Consider the following 25,281-nt stretch of genomic DNA (forward strand, 5'->3'; position numbering starts at 1 on the left):
GACCAAATCAAGCCTTTGTTTTCCCAGATGTGCTATATTCAGTCATTTAATCGACAGCTGTTCTTGAGAGTCTACTATACGCCAGGTGCTGATGCAGGCCCAGGGGTAACAGCAGTCAACCAAGAAACAGGCAAACATTTCACCCTTTGTGGAGCTGTGTTCTAGTGGGAGGAGATAGACAATATACAATAAATATAAAACATACCCCAGTGATATGTATTAGAACATAATAGGTACCTTTTTTAAAAAAGAGCTGAATAATGAGGGTGGTGAGGGTGAGTGGTGAAGGGGAAGTTTGCAATATTGATTGGGGTTAATAAGGGTGGGCCTTGTTCAAACAGTGGCATGAAAGCCAAGACATGACGCAGGTAAACGAGCAAGCTAGAGAGTGTTCTAGGCAAATGTAAAAGCCTCAAGGTAGAAGTCTGTCTGTTTTTGAGGAAGGCCAGAGTGGCTGGAGCAGAGTGAGTGAGGGAGAGGATGGTAGGAAATCAGGGCAGGGAGATTAATAGGGGACCGGTTAGTAGGGACCCCAGGAGGCCACTGTAGTGTTGGATATTCCTGGATCAGAGTTTCTCAAATCATTCTCCACAGGTAATGTCTATTCTCCAAGAGAGTTTTCCTTGGCCTGTGGCCAGGCTGCTCAAATAGAATGCAGAAACAAAGAATTTGCCTGAATTCTGCTAGCCACTCTCCAAGGTCTTCTCCTGCGATGGGTGGAGGGACTTTCAGGGCAACCCTGTTCTAAGTAGGAGGTGAAGGTGATATCCAGACAAATCCTTCCTGGGTATTTGCTCGGGGGAACTTGGGACTTTTTGGCAGTATTGTCTAAGGCTCTGGCTCATTAATTCAGCCCTCGTGTTCCCGTATCTGCAAGGGCATAACTGCAGTCCCCTCAGTTCTCTGGGTAATGTGACTCTCACTGCAAACCTCAACATGGAAAGCTCTTGCTAAGGTGGGAAGGTCTCAGTCCTCCAAAGGAAACGAAGTTGTGGCAGCCTTTTTACTAGAAGGATCAACTTAGTAATTAACAAAAATACTTAAAATAATGAAGAGGAGGTGGGTGTAATCAAGAACTATGATTATTCAGGATCTCTGTAGGAGTAAATGTATTACTTCAAAATTCTCCAGTTTTGCACGCCCATGTTTATTGCAGCACTATTCACAATAGCCAAGATTTGGAAGCAACCTAAGTGTCCATCAACAGATAAATGGACAAAGGAAAGGTTGTAAATACACAGTGGAGTACTATTCAGCCATAAAAAAGAATGAGATCCTATCATTTGCAACAACATGGATGGAACTGGAGATCATTATGTTAAGTGAACTAAACCAGACACAGAAAGACAAACGTCGCATGTTCTCACTTATCTGTGGGAGCTAAAAATTAAAACAATTGAACTCATAGAGATAGAGAGTTAGAAGGATGGTTACCAGAGGCTAGGAAGAGTAGGAGAAGAGTCGGGGGTACGTGGGTGTGGTTGATGAGTACAAACAATAGTTAGAAAGGATGAATAAGATATAGTATTTGCTAGCACAACAGAGTGACTATAGTCAAAAATAATTTTATTGTACATTTTTAAATAATTAAAAGAGTATACTTGGGTTGTTTGTAACACAACAAATAAATGCTTGAGGTGATGGATACCCCTTTTACCCTGATGAGATTATTATGCATTACATGCCTGTATCAAAATATTACATGTACCCCATAAATATATACATCTACTATGTACCCACAAAAATTAAAAATTAAAAAATTAATCTCCAGCTTTGGAGTCAAAAGCTAAAGCCATTTTTTTACATTTTAAGATTTGGGGGATGAAAAATACAGCATTATGCTTTTAACAGCCCTTTACAGCTTTACCATTTTTTAACCTTTGTCTCAGCCTTCTTGTGTTTAAGTATAAGTGTTCTCTTTATGGAAACCCAAAGCTTCCCTTATTTAAATTTCAAGGATGTTGAAACATTGTAATGTTTCATTACAATTAATGAAACATTACATTAAAATGTAGAGTCTACATCATGTACCTGTTTTCTTTTTTTTTCTTTTTTTTTTTTTTTGAGACAGTGTCTCACTCTGTCGCCCAGGCTGGAGTGCAGTGGCGCCATCTCGGCTCACTGCAAGCTCCTTCCTCCTCCTGGGTTCATGCCATTCTCCTGCCTCAGCCTCCTGAGTAGCTGCAACTATAGGCACCCACCACCACGCCTAGCTAATTTTTTGTATTTTTAGTAGAGACGAGGTTTCACCGTGTTAGCCAGGATGGTCTCGATCTCCTGACCTCATGATGTGCCCACCTCGGCCTCCCAAAGTGCTGGGATTACAGGCGTGAGCCACCGTGCCTGGCCCTGTTTTCTTTTTTAAAAAATGTTTTATATTTTTAATTACCCTTTTAACTGAACCTGTTTTCAATTCATGTGAATATACATAAAGTATAACACTAAAGAGTTAAAGAAAATATCAAAAAACTCTCCCAAGAGGTGTCAACTGAGTAATAACAACCTAGTTGGAATTAAGCCACTTTGACAAGCTACACTTTCTGAGTGCTTATGTACCAATTGCCTTAACAGACATTTATTTCTTGGTGTGACAGGCTGCTGACCTTAGATCGTAAGCCCAGCCCTGGGTTTCCCCTTCCAGATAAAACTCTGTTATCAGACCAGAGCTGGCTTGCTCAGACACAGTGCCAGCCTACCTGACCACACCCTGCCAACAGCAGCTGCTGAGGAGTAAGACTGAAGTTACCCAAATGCTCGTCCAATGGGCTCACATGTTAAAGACCAAATATTCCCCCCGGATCATGATCTCCTCAGTCCTCTCATCTCCGGAAATGGAGCTACCATCCTTTCAGTTGTTCAAACTAAAAAGCTAGGAATCGTGCTTTGATTCATCTCCCCCCAACCATGTACATCTAATAATACAGCTAATTCCAACAGCTCCTTCTCCAAAAGATGTCATGACTCTGTGAGCTACCTTCCATCTCTACCGCCATAATCCTGGTCCACACTTCATCACACCTGACCTCAGTTATTGTGATAGCTTTCTGTTTTATTTTATTATTTGAATTTTATTATTTTATTTTATATGAGACATGGTCTCACTCTGCTGCTCTGGCTGGAGTGCAGTGGTGCAATCATAGCTCACTGCAGTCTTGAACTCCTGGGCTCAAGCAATCCTCCTGCCTTAACCTCCTGAGTAGCTGGGACTACAGGCACATGCCACCACACTTGGCTTATGTTTTTATTTTTTGTAGCGATGAGGTCTCACTGTGTTGCCCAGGCTGGTCTTGAACTCCTGGCCTCAAGCAATCCTCCTGCCTTGGCCTTCCGAAGTGCTGAGATTACAGGCATGATCTACCATGCACGGTCCCATAGCTTTCTCAGTGATCGCCATATTCCCAAACTTGCACTTTCTAATGGCCGTCAGAATGGTTCTTAGAAACCTATATCAGACCATTTCACGCCTCTGTGTGAAATCTCCTATATCTCTCACTGCAGTAAAATAAAACCCAAATTCCTTACCTTGGCCTACGAGACTGTTACTTGACCAGACTCTTACATACTTTTCTGACTTGACCTTCATCCCTAAATGCCACGCTCCAGTCACTCTGGGCCTTCCTTTTGTTTTCTGAACCCATTCAATTTGTTCCAGCCTTTGTATAAGGTGTCTCCTTTCCCTGGAACACTCCCTCCACCCCCTTGTCTTCTCAAGGCTGGATATGTTATTCTGATCTCATCTTAAATTACCACTTCCTCAAAGAGGTCCTCTGTGACTCCGCAGTCTAAAGTAGCCCCCACCAATCCGTCTCTATCCTATTTTAACTTTCAAGAGGATATTTTTCCTCTTTATTTCTTTTTCCTAGCTGTCTCCCACCCAGTGGGAGACACTTTCAATAGCTTGTTAGTAATCTAATATTTTTTTCTGATTGTAATAGTAGTGCATACTCATTGTAAAGTATTTGGAAAATACAGACGCAATAGTGCTTTGGCTGGGTTAGAGTCCCAGAATGTGAACTTTATGAGAGCAGCAATTTTGACATGCAGTTTTCTGCTATATCCCCAGCACCTGGAACAGTGCTTGGCAAGTGAAAGGTGTTCCATAAATAGTCAGTGCATGAATAAAGTTTTCTCTTGGTGGGGTTGATTTCTGAGTTGGTTCCATCATGGGTTGGTTATCTTTATCTTCCACTCTAGACTGTCTTCCTTCCTGTCCACTCATCTGATAATCTACATGCCCCATTCATCACTAGGGAACCCGTCACAGGAAGGGAGTGGGTGAACTAGCATAAGTGGAATAGCTAAATTGAGAAGACTCCAAAACTTATGCCTTGCTGCATACAAATTGTTAGCAATATCCTTTTGCTTATTAGAATATTCTGAATTAATATATAGATGTTCTAACACAAATTCATCTCTTTTAGCGCTTTGCTATCTCTAAAATAGAGAGGGAAGAAGCATTGTTCTATTTCTCACTGAAAAAAGAGTATTACAGAAATGATTTTAGAAGTTTTAAAAGTGCTATTGAAATGCTATTTTAAATACAGAAATGCTATTTTAAACATGGAGAATTAAAGTCCGAGCCATATCATCTAGCAATCTAACAAAAGGAAACGTAACTTTGGGCTTTGAAACCAGACTATGAACAGAGGCTAGTTCTCTATTTTAAGCAGTGTCTTCCATGAGTGGGTATTTTTATATTGCTATCTCCCCCAGTTTCAATAGCTTATTAGTAATCTAATATTTTTTTTCTGATTGTAATAGTAGTGCATACTCATTGTAAAGTATTTGGAAAATACAGACGCAATAGTGCTTTGGCTGGGTTAGAGTTTAAGGGTGTGTGTTAAAGCCCGGTAGAGGAACATGTGGTGTGAGACAACACTGCCCCCTAGAGGTCCTTGTGTGCCGCGGACTGACCGGGCCACCCAACCTCCGGAGACGTCCCACCGCTTCGAGAAGGCTCCTGGACAACGAAGCGCGTCCGGTGATTTCAAGGTGGGGCTAGGAGTCTTGTGAGAGGAAACTCGGTCCTGACCCTATGTGAGTGCTGAAATTCATAGAACTGTGTAGACAAAGGTCAATTTTATTGCATGCTAATTTAAAAACATTTAAAAATAAAATAAGCTTTAAATGCCTTTAAGACATAATTTAAAATAACTTTAGAAAAATTCCAGTGAGAGACTCATCCCATAATTTAGCCACTCCTTCTGATGCTAGACTGCTGCACTGTTCCTATCTCTGTATAAATAAACCTGTATTGGAAACTCTGGGGGCATAAATCTTTGTACATATTTAAGATTTTAAAAATTAGGATACAGCTCAGAAGTGGAATTATGGAGAAGATGAGTATAAATGTTTTTTAGAACTCTTGATATCTGCTGCCAAGTTGCTTTCCCTTCAAGGTCGTGTCAATTGCCGCTCCCACCAGCAGTGACTGAGATTAAATGGTTTGGGTATTATTGAGTACATGAAATTAGAAGACATATTCAGGGTTGGTTGGGGAATTGCCTCCTGGTTGAGGTGGGGTGGCGGAGAAGTAGGAGAGAAACGGAGGTGGGTGCGTGTGTAAACCAGGAGAGAAATAGGCCTTCACGCCTGAGGGTTATCTGCTTCAGGTTTTTGTGCTTCCCCAATAACTCCTATTTTGCTCCTTACCACTTTCTTTAGGATTGATTTTTATTTTCTTATTTCTTCTTCACCCTCTCTTCTGGCTGTAGTGTAGGAGCAAAGTTAGGCTACCAAAGCAGCAATACTATCCTATGTAATCAACCAAGCAACGTTTTTAAAACACCAATCATATGAAAGGCACTGTGCAAGCCACCCCTGCCCTCAGAATTTACAGTGCAACAGGGAAAGGTGAGGTTAGTGTGACTTCCCTGCCCAACACCACCTTTCTCCCTCCTAAGTTGCTAATGGTAATGATGAAAATAATGTCATCATCAGGTATTATTTAGCTATTGGAAGAAACCACTCAGTGTCGAGTTCATCAAGGAATCCGTCACAGATGTGAAATCAAGCCAGGCCTAGCAAGGATGAGTGCATTTAATTGAATGCATTTCAGGTAGAGAAATGCCATGTGCAGAAGTGACGGCCTTTGGTAAGGAGTATGGGACTGTGACTATTTCCCCTTGATGACCTTGCATGAAAATAAACAAACAGCATTTGAAAAATCTCCTCTCCTGAGGTGACTAGAAGGTGACTCAACAGTCCATTTCCATGCATCAGCTTGCTGGAGGAAATGGAAAGGCCTATTCCCCAAAGCAGTGTTTGTCTCACAGAAATAGAGATATTATGTGTCATAAATTGGGAAAACTTGTGAAATGAAACATCTGTTCTGCATGCTTAAGCACCAAGGCACTTGCAAAATACGAATTTTTACTCCATATTCCAAATGCTGTGATGATGAGCTGAGAATGAGTTTGGAAGGTTCATCTCTTTCCAATAAAAAGGTTCATCATGCCTCTCTGACTTTTATAATTATTTTGGAACATTTTAGATAGGAAATTGAAAGAGGAGGGAAAGAATGATGACAGAACTGAAGAAGAATTGATGAAAGGGTCAAAAAGCTAAAGAACTTTGAGAAATGGATTTTATGTGCAGTCAACAATGCCTTCAGCTAATTTAACCAAATCAACAAAGCCATTAAAATGTATAATGATTTTTATTTTGCTACAAATCTATGTAGAATGAAAGATACCTTGTGAAATGCAAAATCTTCCATATTTGGGATCTAAGCACCTGCATAGATGTTTGAGAAAACGGAAGGTGGCTATTCTTTTATTGAATGCTTTTAGAACATAATGCTACTCCCCCCTGCTCACTCCACCGCAATAAACACTTTATTCACTCTGGATGCCCTCAATTTCCCCTACCAGCTAGGAGCTGTGTATCACTCTCCAATGTACTGTTGATTTTCAATCTAGACCAGTCTCCAAGGTTACTCTTGACTTTAAAATACACAACACCAATTTGCAGGTTCCACCAGATATCCAGGTGTGAAATTTTCTGAGGCCAATTTAAAGAACAGACTGTCTTTTTTTCTTACCATGGTGCTGCATATTATTGGTGCTAATGCTACACCTAAGGGATTTCAAAGCTCATTTCCAAACATCATCTCATTTGAACTTAACCAGAATTGGGAGATGGACTGTGCAATTATTTTTACCCAGCATTCCAAAAGGGGAAAAATAAGCATCTGAAAATGACTTCCCCAAGGTCACACAAAGAACCAAGACAAGACACTACGTTTCCTAACTCCTATTACTCTGTTTTCTATTGTATTATATACTTTATGCTTGAACATAACCAGGCAAGTCATTTTCCTTGAAAACTCTCAGGAGAAATGTTCTCTAGTCCCAATCCCTTGTCTAATTTCTACTTAAACCTATATCCTCCCCCATTTCTCCTTCTCGGTAGGCATGGGGGATCCCACACTGCAGATCCCACATGCCTATCAGGAGAGTAGTGACCTTATAGAGTCCCACATGGCAGTGTAAAGCAGTGAGAGTCACCTCTTGGGTCCACGGTGGACTGATCCAACCATGTGGGCAGTGGTCAGAGGGGAGTTTTTAACCAGCAGTGGACCAGAATGGGTCACATCAGCAAGGTTGGTGCTGCAGCAAAGTGGCCATTGGGATGATAAAGGGATAGTGATGCTCACGTCCCAGTGTGGATGGTGGGAGAGCATGCATGTTGCTTTCTGTGATAGTATCCATCATGGTACATGAGGGCACAGTCGTTTCTCCTAACTCTGGAATACCAGGTTTCCTCCTCGACTCTCTCAGGATTCTCAGGTAAGAGAGGAGAGGCATGTGTGAGGGATAGGAGGAAGCCGAAAGGAAAACGAATGGGCAGAGATGACATAAAAGGCATATTTAATGAGGGATTGCCAGGGCAAAAGAAATAGATCCCCCTTTCTTTGACATAATTTTCAAATAATCATTTGTATCAAACAGCATTTCCCCCTTGGGGATTTTGAGGGACAGGTAAGGCCACCACCCCAGTGCCTGAGTTTATACTTATAGATACCTGCCTAAGACACTGGATGTGTCTTGGAGGGGGACTGTGGTCCTGCATTAGGTAGGTCGGTGCTAATGAGCTAATGAACTTTGGTTCAAATTGTAGAAGTAAACTGACCACTGTTCCCCGAAGTTGATACGGCCTGGGTGATACTTCTCAGACTTTCGAGTGCCTAAGAATCACCTGAAGATTCCGATTCAGTGGGTTTTAGGGTGGAGCCTAAAATCTTGCATTTCCAACAAGCTCCTGGTGATGCTATGATGCTAGTCCGTAGACTAGCTAAGTAGCAAGGAGCCAGGGACATTCAGATTACACTATGTATGTGGTTTTGCACCCTGATTTTTTTTTTCCTTTTAACCTCTTAAAACTTTTTGCTTAACATTTTACATAAATGTTTTCCCTATGATATTAATTATTCTTTAGACTCATCGTTTTTAATAAATGTGCTATTTAGTTACTTGGATGTGTAGTGATATATTTGATCAACTACCTTTTGTTTGAAATCTAAAATGCTTCCTGTTTTTACCTGTCATAAATCATGATGTCATGAGCATCCCTATTTATAAATCTTTGTTGGCTTCTCTGCACCAAAACTGGCAAGCAGGACAGAGCATTCCATTAGGGAAAAAAAGAAAGAGAGAGAGAGAGAGAGAGACAGAAAAGTATATAAAAGAAGTTGAAAATACTGTTTTAAAACAAATATTGACTGATCTCTAATGTCCACATCCAAGGCACTTGATGACAGGAATTATAGAATATTCAGAAAAATAGAGTTTTTCTTTCACTTCTGCTATAACGTGTACTTGGAAACTACACCATAAAGTATAAAGCTCGAAAGTGGCTGGAATTTCTGCATACGATGTATTGTAATTACAGATTGCGCTCCAAGATTTGTTATAAACTTTGTGAAGGGAAAAAAACACAAGCTGTGTTTTGTATATTAAACATTAAAATTGTAGGCTATATCGTATGCAATGGAAGGAAAATATGCCACATACATTGAATTTTTAAAAACTACCATACCATAATTTTGCATAAAAACTAATAAACAAATTGTATTAAGTGGGAAATAGTTAATAATTTGGCCTCTCTGGTTTGCTGCTGTGTCGCCAGGTCCTGGCTCCCATTAAGATGACATCTAGCCTATAGGCCATTGAATAGAAAAAAGACATTCCTTCCTCAAGCACTTAACTTCCATTCAGCCAAAGCTTATGTGTATTGATTTTGTTGCAAGACACGGTACTGCCGTCTGCTAGAAAATGGTGTAGCAATAAAATCCAAATGTAAAATTTCTACATTGTGAATAGTACTTCCCAGATGTGGTGCACAGTCTGCACAAGCATAGGCACTGGCCCTACATCTAAATAGATTTTTCTGGAATGAAAGAATGAATGTATTCTATTGATCCTGGTTATGCTTTGAAGCTGTAATCTGTCAGTACCCTCTGTGGTCACTAGATAGGAAGTTGGAGAATATTCAGAGTGATAAAGAGAAGGGTAATGGGAAAGTCTAAATGAGTGCTTCTCAAATTTTAATGGGCGTATGAATCACCCAGGAATCTTGTTAAAATGCAAATTATAATTTGGATGTGGGGCCTGGGATTCTGCATTTCTCACAAGCTCCCAGTTCACTTATCATCTGATAAGAATGCTGTTGGTCCATAGGCCACACTTCGAGTAGAAAGACTCTAAAACAACAGTCAATCTTGGCTTCTTGCTAAGTAAATGTTTTTTAGTAAAAATTGTCACTCTTAGTTCATTGAAATTGATTCAGTATTCTATTAATTTCTGTGTTGAATCTTGGAATGGAAAGAAACTTCCAGGTGATTCTAATGTGCAGCCAAGGTTGAGAACCACTGGTCTAGTGAAAAGTCATGCATCCAAAGCACCTAAATGTAGGGACTACGTGTAAAAGGCATTCACAAATGAAAAACATCAAATAATTGTGATTTTACATTTTAAAAAAAGAATTATTCTTCGTCTGAATATATTTATCACCACATGAATGATATACATTACTAAGTATTGCAGGCGTGTCCAACCTTTTGGCTGCACTGGGCCACATTGGAAGAAGAATTGTCTTGGGCCACACATAAAATACACTAACACTAACAATAGCTGATGACCTAAAAAAAAAAAAAAAAAAAAAAAAAAAAGGTCCATGCATAGTTTTCATGATATCCACCACCACAGATAAGCAAAATAGTCCTTGCATTGAAAAGGTTGGACACAGCTGGAAGGAGTTTAGAGGCCGGAAGAGCTCTATAGGCAGAAATACTTTGGGAATGAAAGTAATGGGAGGACATAGGACAAGACGCTGCCCTCCCGGTATCTCAGGTGTGGCATGAGCATACGTGACAGGGGCAGTGAGCACCTGGGCTAAGGATAGCTATTCTACTCCTCCGGCATTGTTCTTCTTACAGAGTTGAGAGCTCCTCTGCACTTTGTGTATGCCATCGGCCAGCTGATAGTACTTTGCAACTCTGATCAATCAACATGCTTGCAGATTGTTACAATCTTGCCGTTTTCCCATCCACGATAATCGCATGGCTGTATCTTAATGCCAGTTTACTGAGTTGTATTGCTAGGGGCTTTCTAATTCCCAGTAAAGATTTTTAAATCCCTCAGCCATTTTCTTACTTAAAACCATTAAAGGTAGCTTTAGGTATGTTGAGGAATGTGTGTGGATGATACAGCATTTCTCTTCTGCCTGGAATAGTTGTCTTCCCTATTGCCGCTGCATTCCCTCATCTACTCTCCATCTCATTTTAACAAAGGATTGGTATTTTAGAAAGAACTCAGATTCTCTTTGGGGAAGCGAGCGCCACCACTTGTAAGGTGATTTTTAAAGATATATTCACAAGTTATTTGATGCTTCTCTCCCAAAGAGATGGAGCTACATTCCCCTTTTCTTAGTGTGGGCTGGACATAAGGACTCAGATAGATCTGGCAGAAAGGATGAAATGTCACTTTTGAGATTAGGTTATTGAAAGACTGTGGCTTCTGTCTTGGGAGGTGCGTGCTCACTTTTTCACTCTTAAACTCCTCACTCGGAGAAGCCAGCTGCCATGCCGTGAGGCAGCCTGTGGAGAGGCCCACGTAGTGAGGAACTGAGGACTGCTGGCAGCCGTGGCAGTGAGTGCAGAAGCAAATCCTTCCCCAGTTGAGGCTGCAGATGACTACAGCCCTGGCAAACACCTTGACTGAAGTCTTGTAAGAGATTCTGAGGCAGAACCACCCAGCTAAGAAGCTCCTGGACTCCTGACTCACAGAAACTGTGAGATGACATTTGTTTTTTAAAAAAATTGGTAAGCTTGGCTGGGCGCGGTGGCTCACGCCTGTAATCCCAGCACTTTGGGAGGCCAAGGCGGGTGGATCACGAGGTCAGGAGATCAAGACCATCCTGGATAACATGGTGAAACCCCATCTCTACTAAAAATACAAAAAATTAGCTGGGCGTGGTGGCGGGCACCTGTAGTCCCAGCTACTCGGGAGGCTGAGGCAGGAGAATGGTGTGAACCTGGGAGGCGGAGCTTGCAGTGAGCCGAGATCACACCACTGTGCTCCAGCCTGGGCGACAGAGCGAGACTCCGTCTCAAAAAAAAAAAAAATTGGTAAGCTTGGGGGTAATTTGTAATATAGCAATCATCAACTGACAGAACTTGCCTGAAACAAAATATTTTTTTCAGCAAAGAACCTGCTATTCTAAGCTTGCTGAAACTGGCTCTGTATTGAAAACTAGAATGGAAAGGAATGTTTAGTGTCAGGGTAAATTCATGAATCAGTGGACCCAACAGAAATGCAGTGTGTGTGTGCGTGTGTGCGTGTGTGTGTGTGTGTGTAAAATACATCTCACTTCTTTGGAAGTGAAAGATGAATTTTTGGAAGAACAAAACTACAATCAGTTCTTTGTTGTCATTGAAATCATTTGATAATCCGAAGCATGCACGCACACTCCCAAAAGAGTAGAAGATGGTAGCTCACAAGACAAGGAAGACTGGTAAAGCTACTGAGGTCTGTGGGAGCTGCCCTGTAAGTCAGAAGTGCCCACAAGTTGGAGCCATTAGGTTTTAAATGACAGAAACCCAATTCAAGCTAGTAAGCAAAAAGAGAATTTATTGTCTTACACATCTGGGAAGTCCGGGGCTACAACAAACTTCGGTACTCCTGTTTACGGAGTTCTCTGTCTCCCTCATCATCTCTGGCCCTGCCTCCCTGTTTCTTTCCTCAACTTCTCCTGTGAGAAATCACTTTCTTTGGCCACCAGTAGCCCAGCTTCTCATCCTGAGTTTGCCTGCTCCATGGCAAAAAGTGCCTTTCTCCTAACAACAATTAATCCAACCCTAGGAACATTCTGATTGCCTGGCTTGGGTTGTAAGCCTTTGGCAAGGGGAAGGTGGTGAAGATGTTGTGATTGACAGGTTTGCCTGGACCACATGGAAAGAGAGGGAGTGATTACCCAAGGAACCCAAGAGGAGGGTGGGTGAGAGGGCTGTTAAACAAAAATATAATCACCGAAGCTCCCTACAACCTGGAGGCTTGATGAGAATAAGCCATGACACATGGTTGCTGTCGTATGGTTGCTGTTCTAAACACATGGTTGCTATTCTTATGGTGCTTCAGTGAGATGCAACTAGAGGCTCAGGTTATAGGCTGAGTTAAGCCAGGAATGGGGTTTTCTTCTAGAAACTTCTGGAACTGAAAAGTTAAATTACTAGGAAGTCGCTGGAGAGGTTAGCTGGCCCTCCATGTCTATTCTACTTAAAGCTGTTCGACTTATAAGTATGAGAATTTAATTCTTCTCCACTCAGCAAGAGAGAAGAATGAGGTGTCTTTGCCTTTATATTTCTAAGAGAACTCATTTAGAGTTTTAAAACACAGGGAGATTAAGGATGTAGGAATGTGTGGAGGTGGTAGACATCTGCTGAATTTTTTTCATAAGAGAGTTTGAGTTGAGATTCTGACATATGCAGCCAAGAGATCCTAATAAAGCTGGTTCTAAAGAGATCCAGATTTTCATATTAGAACTATAATAAATGAGATTTATGTGCTTTTATGAAACTTTACGTTAGCAATTAAAGTATTTTGCACTGGAGGATCAGTTCAAGGGCAAATCTATGCAAAAATGTTCCAACTGAAACCTTTGTATTCAGAATCACAGTGTGTTAGAACTGAAAGAGGCCTGAAAGATCCTATTTGTTTTTTAAGTAAAAAGAAACATCTTTTCATATGTTTAATGGTTATTTGTATTTCTTCTTTTGTGAATTGCCTTTTAAAATTATTTCTCATTTTTCTGTTGGAACATTAATTTGCAAATTATTTGTAAGTGTTTTTATATGCATAATATAAACATATTATTTGTCATATACTGTATGCATCTTTCCTTTTTCCATGTTATAGTGCTGCTTTCTATATATCCATGAAGTTTTAAGTTTTTTGTAAGTTGATTTATCTCTTTGTAGATTATATCTTAGTGTTTATAACTAGTCAAAAGACTTCCCAATACCCAAATACACTAAATAGCCACATATTTTATTTTGCAATTTTTAAAATTTTATTGAATTTTAAGGATCTGTCTTTAATTTAATTATATATAAATCTTTAACAAATCTGAAATTTAATTTGTGAAGTAGGCATCTAATTTTATTTTTTCCCAAATGGTTAGCCAAATATTGCTGTACCATTTATTAAGTAATCTAGTTTTTCCCTATTCAACTGAAATGCCACACTGACTTAATGTTTTATTTGTTTATTTGAGGCGGCAGAACTTCTCAAAACATTTATTAACAGAGAACAATGTTTCATGTAATTAGCATTTGACTTAATAGCTCAATTTGAAGAATGGAAAAAATAAAGGGAAATGATAGATTTCAGTACTACGAACAACATTTGTTGGGACTTTTGAAGGTAGATAAATTGGAAGAAAAAGTATTATGTTGCTTTATTTTAAAAATAGAAGCTAGCAATTTTTAGCTGCATTTGAGGACTTTATTTTCTTTTTGCATTTTCTTCCCTGTGGTCTACAGATTTCCTAGCAGACTTAACATCTGGCATTGGGGAATCCTTAAACCCAAGGAAGGAACTGCTGGCAGGAAATTTTCTGTGGATGTTAGGATTGGGAAAAGGGGAGATGAAATAAGGGATGTGCTTCCTTAAGATTATAAACTCTATCCACAAAGCCCCTGTCTGGAATTCTGGGTTGAATTGTATCCTCCCCAACCCCCACCGAAAAAAAAGACATGCTCTTCAACATATCTTCCTAACCCCCAGTATCTCAGAATGTGACCTTATTTGGAAATAGGATCATTGCAGATATAATTAGTTAAATAAAAATGAGGTCATACTGGAGTAGGGTAGGCCTCTGATCCAATATGACTGGTGGCCTTATTAGAAGATGGCCATGTGAAGACAGAAACACACAAGGAGAAGACCATGCAATGATGAAGACAGAGACTGGAGTTATGCAGCTGAAAACCAAGGAACAGCTTCTTATGTACTTAATTTGTGTCAGATTTCACTACGTGTCAAAGCTTGCTATAAAACCACCAGAAGCTAAGAAGAGAGGAAGGATTCCCCTACAGGTTTCAGAGGAAACACGGCTCTGCTTACACCTTGATTTCAGAGGTACAGCTTTCTAGTTTGTGCTCCTTTATTATGGCAGCCCTAGGAAACTAAAGCAGCCCTCATGAGTTTTAATGGCCTCATGGCTTCTGACACCAAAATGCCCCCAAAACACCTTTGATCTGAATTTTGTCAAATTTTGAACACTTATAGGAGATGATATAACTAGAATATGATGAGATACTTATTAAATAAAGCCCAATGACTCCATGAATTCCAAGTAAAAGTTAAGTAAATCCCTTAAAATCAGAGCTAGAATAATTGTTCTGCCACTCATTAGCTCTGTGATCTTAAGCAAGTTATTTAACTTCTTGGGGCCTCTGTTTCCTCATCTGTAAAACAAAATATCTACCTCAAAGGGTTATCATAAAAACTGGACGAAGTAGTGATGCATGCAAAAGTACTTAGAACAGTGCTTGATACAGAGTGAGTACATAATCGATGCTCTTCTTCTTTTTCATCTCCTACCCCTCCTCCTCCACAAGTGCAGCTGAACAAATTCAAAATGATAGTTCATCAAATAATTGCAACAATATGCTAGACACTCATATAAAGATCCATTGTAATGTAGTCATTTTGCAATGGAAGTTTGGCCGTGTGACAAGAATGTGCCCCTGATATGTCTCCTTGCAGGTTACTATGAACTGAATTGTGTCCTCCCCTGGCAAACTCATACGTTGAAGCCCTAATCCTCAGTGTGATTGTATGTGAAGATAGGGTCCTTGGCAGATAACTAAGGCTACAGGAGTCATAAGGGTGGCACCCTAATTCTATAGGACTGTAGCCTCATAAAAAGACGGAGAGAGAGAGAGAGCTCTCTCTATGGCAAGCACCGAGGAAAGGCCACATGAGCGTGCAGTGAGAAGGCAGCTGTCTGCAAGGCACAGAGTGCACTCACTAGAAGCCAACCACGCTGGCACCCTGATCTTCCTCTTCCCTCTTCAGAGCTGTGAAAAAATTAATATCTATTGTTTAAGCCACCCAGTCTATGGTGTTTTGTTATGGCAGCCAAACTGACTAATTCACAGATTCAACACTCAAAGGGTTAAATATATATACCTCTTGGAACAGACAATGTGGATCTCCCTGCTTGGCTGATCCTCCTTCCCTACTAGTCTTCCAAATTTGTAGTGCTATAGGGCCCTCTTCTTTACCCTTGGTCTTCTATCTCAATCCAGCCCAAGGCTTTAAATACCATGTGAAATGGTTTGAATGTATATGTCCCCTTCAAAATTCATATTGAGACTCAATCCCCAATGCAGCATTGTCAAGAGGCAAGGCCTTTAGGAGGTGATTAGGTCGTGAGGGAGCTGCCTGTATAAATGAATTAGAACCTTATAAAAGGGATGGAGGGAACTAGCTAAGCTCTTTTTGTTCTTCTCCTTTCTCCCATGTAAGGATGCTACAGTGAGAAGATGCCAGGTCCTCATCAGACACCAAACTTGCTGGTGCCTTGATCTTGGACTTCCCAGCCCTTAGAACTGAGAGAAATAAATGTCTATAATTTATAAATTACCCAGTCTGTAATATTGTGCAGCACAAAGTGACTAAGACATCGTATGTATACTGATGACATACAGATTTAGTCCTCAACTCTTCCTTCAACTGCAGGCCTATGTGTCCAACTTCCTTCTTGACTCCTCCACTTGGATGAATAATAAATAGCCACCTCAAATATTTTAAAGTCCAAAACAAACCCTTCATTGAACTGTTTGTTCCCTCTTTTCAACCATGCCTTGTCCATGTGGACACCCCCACCCCAAAAGTCATCCTTGATTTCTTTTTCTTTACCCCCTCTGCCCACATCCAACCCATCAGTAAGTCTTGTCAGTTCTACTTCCAAATTATGTTTTTAATGTTATTCCCATTTCTCAGTTCCACTATCACCACCACGACTATTTCTTGCCATAGTCTCATTTCTTGCCATAGTCTCCTAAATGGTCTCCCAGTCTCTAGTCTTGCTGTCTTATAAATTCCTCTCCACTCAGTAGCCAGAGTTATCTTTCATAAAATATAATTTTAATTTTACAAAAAAAATACATGTGCAGAGTTTAAGCAGGCAGAGTTCAACAAATGATACCACCAAAAGGAAACAAACAAACAAGACATACCAATACCTTCCAGATAAATAATTTTTAATGGCTTCAGCTCAGAGTTATCTTTTCATTTGTTTGTTTTTGGTTAGGTTTTTTGAGGTACAATTTGCATAGAGTAAAATGCAGCAATTCACATATTTAGGTATACATTCCAGTGACTTTTGACAAATAAATTCAGTCATGTAACCACTATGATAAAAATATAGAATATTTCCTTTACCCATAAGATATAGATGGATATAGATATAGATATAAAAGATACAAGGTCTCCTTCTGTTGCCCTTGAACTCCTGGGATCAAACCTCCTGCCTCACCCTCCCAACTAGCAGGGATTACAGGTTTGAGCCACTGTACCCGTCACCATAAGTTATATTTTAATACATTAACTGAATCATGTCAACTCTTTAGGCAAAAAGCCTTCAGTGACTTTCTTCTAACTTAGAATAAAATTCAAACTCTTTGTCAGGGTCCTTGAAGCCCTACAAAACTCACTTCCATTTACTTCTCTGAACTCCCCTAATAACAAGTCCCCTCACTCAGCAGGGCCCTGCTAAGGAGTTTCAATCTGCTTCATGGACATTCAACCTGCCTCTCCCCTTGTCTGGAATGATCTTCCTCTGATGTTCCATCCACCTTACTTTTTCTGATCTCTTTATTCAGTGTAGCTTTCAATTCACCTCAAGTAAGTTATTAATTATTTTATCCTGTTTATTTCTTATCACAATTTGGGATAATTTTGTTAATGTATCTTTTTGCTTGTTTATGTCTTAGACCACCAGAATGTAGCAAGATAAAGGCAGGACCTTGGTCCATTTATGCAACACTATATTCCCAGCTCCCATGATATTATCTATTCTACCACACAGAGGGTTCTTCATATTAGGTTGAACTATTTGGAATTACCCACATATGACCATTTTTAACCTACAAGAATGGCGATTTCATATGGTTCATTTGGTTTATAAATACTTGCTGAATAAATGAATGAACTGAAATTTTGAGTTGATGCCACCAGGAAGAGAATAGACAGTTATATTTGTGCACAGTTAGAAAGAGTTCGCTGTCCTGAGTTCACTTGATCACTTTTTATCCTAAATTGCCACCCGCTACCGTCGTCGTCTTCCACATAATAATTTTCTATTAGGAAAATTATTCATTAAAACAGATAACATGGGTCACTTAAGTGTAAAACTTAAAGGTAACACTTTTTTAAGGAAATCTACCAGAAGAAAATCTTTTTCTAATTTTTAAAGTTTAATGAAACATAATTTACATACAATGTAAATGGCTAATAATTTACGTACGATAGCTAATTTTTAACTCTTCATGTTTTTCTGTTGGCAGGCAACGTGTTGGACCTTCCGGAGCTTCTCAGAAGACAGAGGGTTTTCTTTTGAGGTAAATTTGATAGTACATTTTGATAGTACAGGAGGCGATACGGCATGGTGACAGAAAAGCGCCGGCTTGGTTAGCGGGACCACCTGGCAGGGCTGCAGGCTGTGCCACTTACCAGGCAGGGGACCTTGGGCCAGCTGCTTGGCCTCACTCACCCTGTTTCCTCAGCTGCAATTGGGATGAACAGACTGCCTGCTTCGGGGTTGCCTAAAACTCACATTGCTTAATGATGTGAAATGCTTAGCGCAGTGCCTGGCATAGAGAGAATTCTCATTAGATGATACCTCAGCTGGGCTTTAGGAGCTACAGAAGAAGCTGCATCTCCATGAGCTCAGCGTGTTTCTAGCTTTCCTTTTTGTTTTCTATTCAACCTTTCACCCAACTCAGCTTCTCAATCCCTAAATGACAAAGGTTTGGGAAGGAAGACTTGGACCGATGCTTGCATTTGTTTCTGAGAATTAAACGTTATGTTTTCTTCAATCCAAATAGGTTTGCTTGTACAGCCTTGTTCAATGGTTTTTTTTTTTTTTTTTCTCCATGATAAATGACTCTCAACTTCTTTTCCCTCATTTAATTGCTTATCTACATACAATGCCTGGAAGGAAATAAATGTAATGGCCCGTAGCAGTTGGCCTTCAGGTATCAAGTTTAAGTCCCTTTAAGCAGAACAGCAAATTGAGCACAGAATGAACTGGTTTCATGGTAGCGTACTGCAATTAGATGCAAGAATAGGGAAAGCAGGGTGCTTCAATTGGTGACACAATTAGTATAGCACTGGGGGACTTCTCTTTCCACTTCTTCAACTCCGCCTGCATTCCGCTGGCTGAAGAGTTGATGACATCCCTGAAAAATCTTCCCTCTCTTGTTTCTCTGATGCCACCTCTGTGTTCTCCGCCTCACTGGCCACACTTCCTTTACCTCCCAAACTTTTAACTCTGAGTGTCCCAAACTTGTCTCATCACCTACCCCTGCTGCCCAGCTCCCCAGCCTGTTCCCCTTCTGACACGGGCACTCTCCTTCTGCTGTCTTGGGAGAGAAACAATGAAGGCCTAGTTGGCACTTTTATTTCTATTCAAGGAACCAGACTGTGAACAAGTTTACCATTTAGTCCTTTGGACTGTGTCTTGAATTCATCCCTCTTCTCCATTCTCACCAGCACCATCATCATGATGGCTAATATTTCCTGAGCACCTTTCATCCAGGCATGATGCCAGGTGCACCAACTTACTTAATCCTCATAGCCACCACCTGAGCAAGCTCCTGTTTTATAAATGGACCAGTTCTTGTTGCTATTGTACAAGTTATTTTCTTTCTATAACGTCCTCCTTGTCCTCCTTCCACATTCTTAAAGAAACTTGCCCTTCCTTTAAAGTACTCAGGGAGCCCTGCATTGCTTCTTGAAGCCTTCTCCAGCTTCATCATCTCACAGTGGTCTCTCTTTTCACTAAATGTCCAATATGCTGCACATAAGTACCCCAAAGTTAGCACAGAATTGTTCCATGGCTGTCATATATGTTAAAAATCATTAAAAGTTCATTTTTTCTCTCATTATGGGAAGGATACATGCTCCTACTAGTAAATTTAGTAGGTAGAAAAAAATTATCACTATCTAGACTGCTTTCCATTTAGTCTTTATGCATAGCTTTCTGTCTGCCTATTTTTACCTTGTGTTTGTAACTTACTATTATAAAATATGCGTCTCTATGTGCATTGTCAACATTATTTACAATAACATGGAGTGGATTGACACGTATTCTCTATATTTGGATTAAAGGAGATAGAGTATGTGAAATTAAATGGGAGAAGTATCTGATACATAACAGGCAATACAAATATTATCACATAGCGTCAACTTATTTGTGAATATTGAAAGCTCCAAAAAAGAAAAAAGGTTTTTTTTAATTCCCGTAATCACTTATTGCAGTATTGTGTACATACAAAGTGCTCAATCATTTTGGAGGAATAACAATTTTTTTTCCTCATCATGAAGTAAGGTATGCTCACTGCAAAAAATCTAGAAAATAAAGAGGAACATACTAAAGAAAAGAATACTCCCATATAATCTCTGTCTTCATAAATAATCTTTTGTAACACTTATACACTGCTGGTGGGAATGTAAATTAGTTCAGCCATTGTGAAAAGTAGTGTAGCAATTCCTTGAAAAACTTAAAATAGAATTACCGTTCAACCCAGCAATCCCATTATTGGGCATATACCCAGTGGAATGTAAATCATCCTGCCATAAAAACACATGCACATGTATGTTCATTGCAGCACTATTCACAATAGCAAAGACATGGAATCAACCTATATGCCCATCAGTAGTAGACTGAATAAAGAAAATATGGTACATATTCACCACAGAATACTAAGCAGCCATAAAAAAGAAAAAGATCATGTCCTTTGCAGCAATATGGATGGAGCTAGAGGCCATTATCCTAAGCAAACTAATGAAGAAACAGAAAACCAGATACTGCATGCTCTCACTTATAAGTGGGAGATACACCATGAGAACACATGAACACAAAAAGCGGAAAAAGAGACACCATGGCCTACTTGAGGGTGGAGGCTGGGAGGAGGGAGAGAATCAAAAAACTTCCTATGGAGTACTATGCTTATTACCTGCGTGATGAAATAATCACTTTGAACGTGGTCAGTACATTATCTTCTAATCTAGACTCTTTTCTATGTTCTATATACACACAGAAATACACATGCAAAGCTGAACACATGTGTGAAACAAAATTCAGACACTCAAATTTTCCGCCAACACGTGATAAAATCTTGCACAATAGCTTCCTCCACAGAGGAAAATGTCTTTACTACATCTTAAAAATGGGGTAAATGAATAGTTAGGCTCTTCAGTGTAATAATCATGATAAATATTCTCAATATGCGAAAATACAAACAAAGGACTTTCTCTCCCAGCAAATTTAGACCCACATGAAAATTTAAGCACAATCATTTTAAACGAATTTATCCTGGAGCTTAGTGGTTCGAGTTCAAGGTTGAGGAGCAGTCTGGGGACATCAGCTCTTAATATTTTTCAAGTTTTGGAGCAAGTGGTTTCTAGGTTCTGAGTGAAGTGAAACAGAATCTCTAGGGGCATGTGGTAAAGATAATCCCATACTATGTACTGCGTAGAGTTAAAGAGAAGAGGCGAGAGCATGAAGATAAACCAGTACAATCAGTCGTTCACATACCACTAACTACAATGATACTCCCATTTGCTTCCTGTGAAGTAGTTACTAATAATCACTGATGTCGCTTTTTAATTTCATACATCCTTTAACTGTCTTCATATAGGTATTGAAAGAGTCAACATAAAAGCCACATCCATTTTCTAATTTTGAACAATAGTTAGAGAAACCTAATATCTTCTCATATTTTTGTCTTGCTTCTGTCTCATGAGTTCCCAAAATAGATATATTATCTGAATGAAGAGTTCATGGGCAAATGTCACACTTTTCTTGGTTTGGCTAATTATATTTCTGCTTTTGCTTAGAATAAGATTAATTTTCCTATTCTGCTAATAAACCACGTGATGGCAAAATGCCTTATTCTGAGAAAAGAAGCCTTTGGTATTTTAAAGAATTGGGAAGCTATTTCAGATAAGCTATCATATGCATGAAGATTAATTTATTCATATGAAATGTTCAATAACCAGAAAAGACTGTTTTAAATAAAACCATTTCACAATTAAGTTTTTTTTTGGTTATGGACAGTGATTTCTTCTAAGAAACAAAGCGCCTGTCTATATGAAGAATAACTAAAATAATGGTTAGCAAATATTGATTGGATCCAGCCAAGTGAGCAGCATTTTTGAGTTTACAGATGTGGTAACTTTGAACTATATTTACGTGCTTATAATGAAACCTTACAGTTGGAGTAATAGCTTTGTTCCTGAGTCTCATGAATATTTTCCAGCTCCTTTGTCCTAAATTTCTGCCTGACAATCATCCATTTCAAGGAATAAAAGGATATAATAAGTGATAAACCTATGCTGGAAATTTTTAATCTAAAAAGTTCACATACTGTTTCTAATAAACTGAAAACTATTAGAGAAAGATGGAGGTATTAAAACCTGTTAATAAGGAAATCAATGGCAACATATTTTAAATGGTTTTGAATTTTATAAAGATTTTCTTTTATAGCACTATGTCCTTTTTCTTTTCTTCTCCTTGTTTGATTTCCAACAGCTGAGCTATTTACTTGTTGAGTTATTTCATATCTATTATTCCATTTAGACCTTGAACCCTGTGAGGGCAGGGACTAACTTTATTCCTAGTGCCTGTCACATGATTTGAACTAAATAAGTATATTTTTCCAGCCTGCACTACTACGTACAATAAGGAGTTTCTTATATTTACTTGAAAATGTTTTCAACCTTCTAGGGATGACCTCTACTATTATTATTCCATTATTGACCTTTCTATGCTTATTATTGACCTTTCATCTTATTATTCTGATTTAGTAAGCAGATTTTATGTCTCCTTGTCCATACCATTCAAGGCTATCTAGATTTCAATTGTATCTTCAGATTTTTACCTTCCACATTGATGAGTCCCAATGTGAACCCTCCAAAGCAGGTTCCTACTGCACTCATCAGTTTCTTTGGTTGAGGGATAGTGGCCACTATGTCCTTCTCAGGATGTTGGAGACATGATGAAATAAAGACGGTGATATTAGCCCCCTAACTGTAATCACTCATGCTGCTCCCACCCATGTCTACCCACTGGAACAGGGAGTGGTGGCATTGGGGTGGTACAGGGCTTGCCGAGGATGTTGGCTTATAGCTGTATCTCCAAACATCCAGAGCATGTCTTCTTTTTCACCTCTCCTTTAGAATCTGCTTCCTCGAACCATCCCTTTAAGTGCAGGAAGAAAGCTATTTTTAATGTGAAAATTACTGTTCCAGTTATCTCATGGTGGAAATTCTTAATGGGCTCTTACTTTGGGCATCTGTCTGGCTCTCAGTGCCAGTAACTTTCTTTTCTTCTTATCTTTGTTTTGTTTTGTTTTGTTTTAAAGATGGGGTCTCCGTCACCCAGGCTGGAGTGCAGTGATATGATCATAGCTCACTGCAGCCTTGAACTCCTGGGCTCAAGCAATCCTCCCACCCCAGCCTCCCAAGTAACTGAGACTACAGGCACCCACCACCGTGGTTGGCTATCAGTGCTAATAACTTTCTGAAGCTCCATGCCTTTAACTCCAGCGTTCTTTACTTAGTGTTTTGAAATATCTGCTGCCCACAAATCCTAGCACATTTCTGAAGTTACCAAGACTTTAAGACCTCCCATACTGCTTTTTCTCCCATCTTCCCTTCTCAGTGTTATTAGCCTCATAGTTTCAAGGGCCCAGCCCAGTATCCACCACACACCATATCCCATACGTACAAATACAGCATAGATAGTATTGAACATTTCATTTTTCACTTTAGCTTGGTGAAAATTAATATGTATTTAGGTATTTTATAGTTATGACTCTTAGTTTTGGGTTGTCTATCTGCTCCATCCTTATTTCTACCTTTAAATGCAGAGCTATTTCCACCAGCTTGAGATAAAAGAAGACAATAGATCCTAAGTCTTCCACTTGGTTCCCTATGGGTTTTGTTTGTTTGTTTGTTTGTTTGTTTTTGGTAGAGATGAGGTCTTACTCTGTTGCCCAGGCTGGAGTGCAGTGGTGCAATCATAGCTCACTGCAGCCTCAAACTCCTGGGTTCAAGCAATCCTCCTGCCTCAGGCTCTGGAGTCACTGGGATTACAGGCGTGAGCGACTGTACCTGGCTTCGATTTCCTGATTAAATTATTCTCTCTGCAGCCAGTTTCTTTATTCCAGCCTGAGTCATTTTCTTGCCCTGGGTGACATTTTTCCGTCTTGGACATCTGTCGTATTGAAAGCAAGTCACTTCATTTATGTCTGTCCTCGACTTCTGTTTGATACACTTCCCATGTCTCCAAGTCACGGTATTTCTGAAACAATTCATATTGCTTTTCATTACTAAACTTTTTTTCCAAAGTACTCCTCTGCAGCCTTCATTCCTGATATCTTTAAATTTATCTAGAAGGTCTTATATGCTAGATCTACATCTCCTTTAGACACTTATCATTAACCCAATTTAGGGTAACAGAAATTGTTTTTTACATTGAGCACTCTCACAGGTACCTACAACTGCTCACAGTGGTCCTAGAAAGGACATAAAGTAAATTGAAATGGACATCGTTTGGCAGGTGATTTTTGTATCCTTCCTGACGATGCTGGTTCAACTTTAACATACAGGTCTAATGTTTTTTTAATCCCTAACCCAATTAATAATAGAAAAGTAATACATATTCATTCTAGAGTATTTGGAAAATATAGCTAATCCCAACAACCAATCAGAGATAACTACTTATCTTTTTCCTTTCAGTCTCTTTTTATATACACATACACTTAAACCTATCTCCTTATCAAATTGTGATGAGTTATACACATAGGGAATTGAAATAACCAAATATTTCTATAATTCTTATAAGTAAAAATAGTAATAAAAATGACATTCAATTTTTACTTGTTGATTCCGGTGTGCGTTTTCCTCTTTTAAAATAGTTGTTTAGTTTTCCAAATTGGCCAGCAAAAACTTACTTAATTTATAAAGTTACTGAAATACTCTCTCTTTAAAAATGAAAAAATATGATATAATAATTTTAATGATAAAATGAAAAAGGTAATAAAATAGAAAAAATATTTATCTTGAATGTTGGAAATTGAGACAAAGCATATTCAATGTTCAATTGAATGACTATCAAGTGGTATCTGGAAAATTTTATAGAAACCTAGTATTTTTATAGATGTTTTTGAAAAGAAATACTGGTTATTGGGTTTACTTCACTCAAGAAATCCTTTTGCTTAATAGGGGTATATCATTAATACTAGTTAAGTGTTGGTTATTGTATTGTATAAGTGTTGGTTATTGTATCTTCACAGTGCTATAAAGAACTACTTGAGAATGGGTAATTTATAAAGAAAAAGAGGTTTAATTGACTCACAGTTCTGCAGGGCTGGGGAAACTTACAATCATGGCAGAAGGTGAAGGAGAAGCAAGACACATCTTACATGGTGGCAAGAGAGAGTAAAAGAGCAAGGGGGGAATTGCCACACCTTAAAACTATCAG

The 25,281-nt window shown here is 39.2% G+C and overlaps 1 long non-coding RNA gene across 4 annotated transcripts in view, besides 1 other annotated feature; it reads left to right on the forward strand.

Annotated features, from left to right (window-relative positions):
* Positions 1-25,281, forward strand: part of LOC112268063 (uncharacterized) — a 62,306-nt gene that overhangs the window by 1,276 nt on the left and 35,749 nt on the right. Inside the window, exons 1-2 of one of the 4 annotated variants that reach the window (XR_002957093.1) lie at positions 4,581-5,037; positions 18,077-18,130. This is a non-coding gene — a long non-coding RNA (uncharacterized LOC112268063). Of the gene's footprint in view, positions 1-4,580; positions 5,038-11,563; positions 14,640-17,042; positions 17,415-18,076; positions 18,614-25,281 lie in introns of those variants that run through there. The other 3 variants (XR_002957090.2, XR_002957091.2, XR_002957092.2) reach the window with 3 other exon arrangements.
* Positions 4,733-5,027: an enhancer, noted in NCBI's record as "tiled region #7232; K562 Activating DNase unmatched - State 9:DNaseU". NCBI's record gives its function as "activates a minimal TATA promoter and a strong SV40 promoter by Sharpr-MPRA in K562 cells {active_cell/tissue: K562}" and the evidence as "EXISTENCE:reporter gene assay evidence [ECO:0000049][PMID:27701403]".

Source organism: Homo sapiens, chromosome 10 (assembly GCF_000001405.40).
Source record: "Homo sapiens chromosome 10, GRCh38.p14 Primary Assembly".
Taxonomy (NCBI): Eukaryota; Metazoa; Chordata; class Mammalia; order Primates; family Hominidae; genus Homo; species Homo sapiens.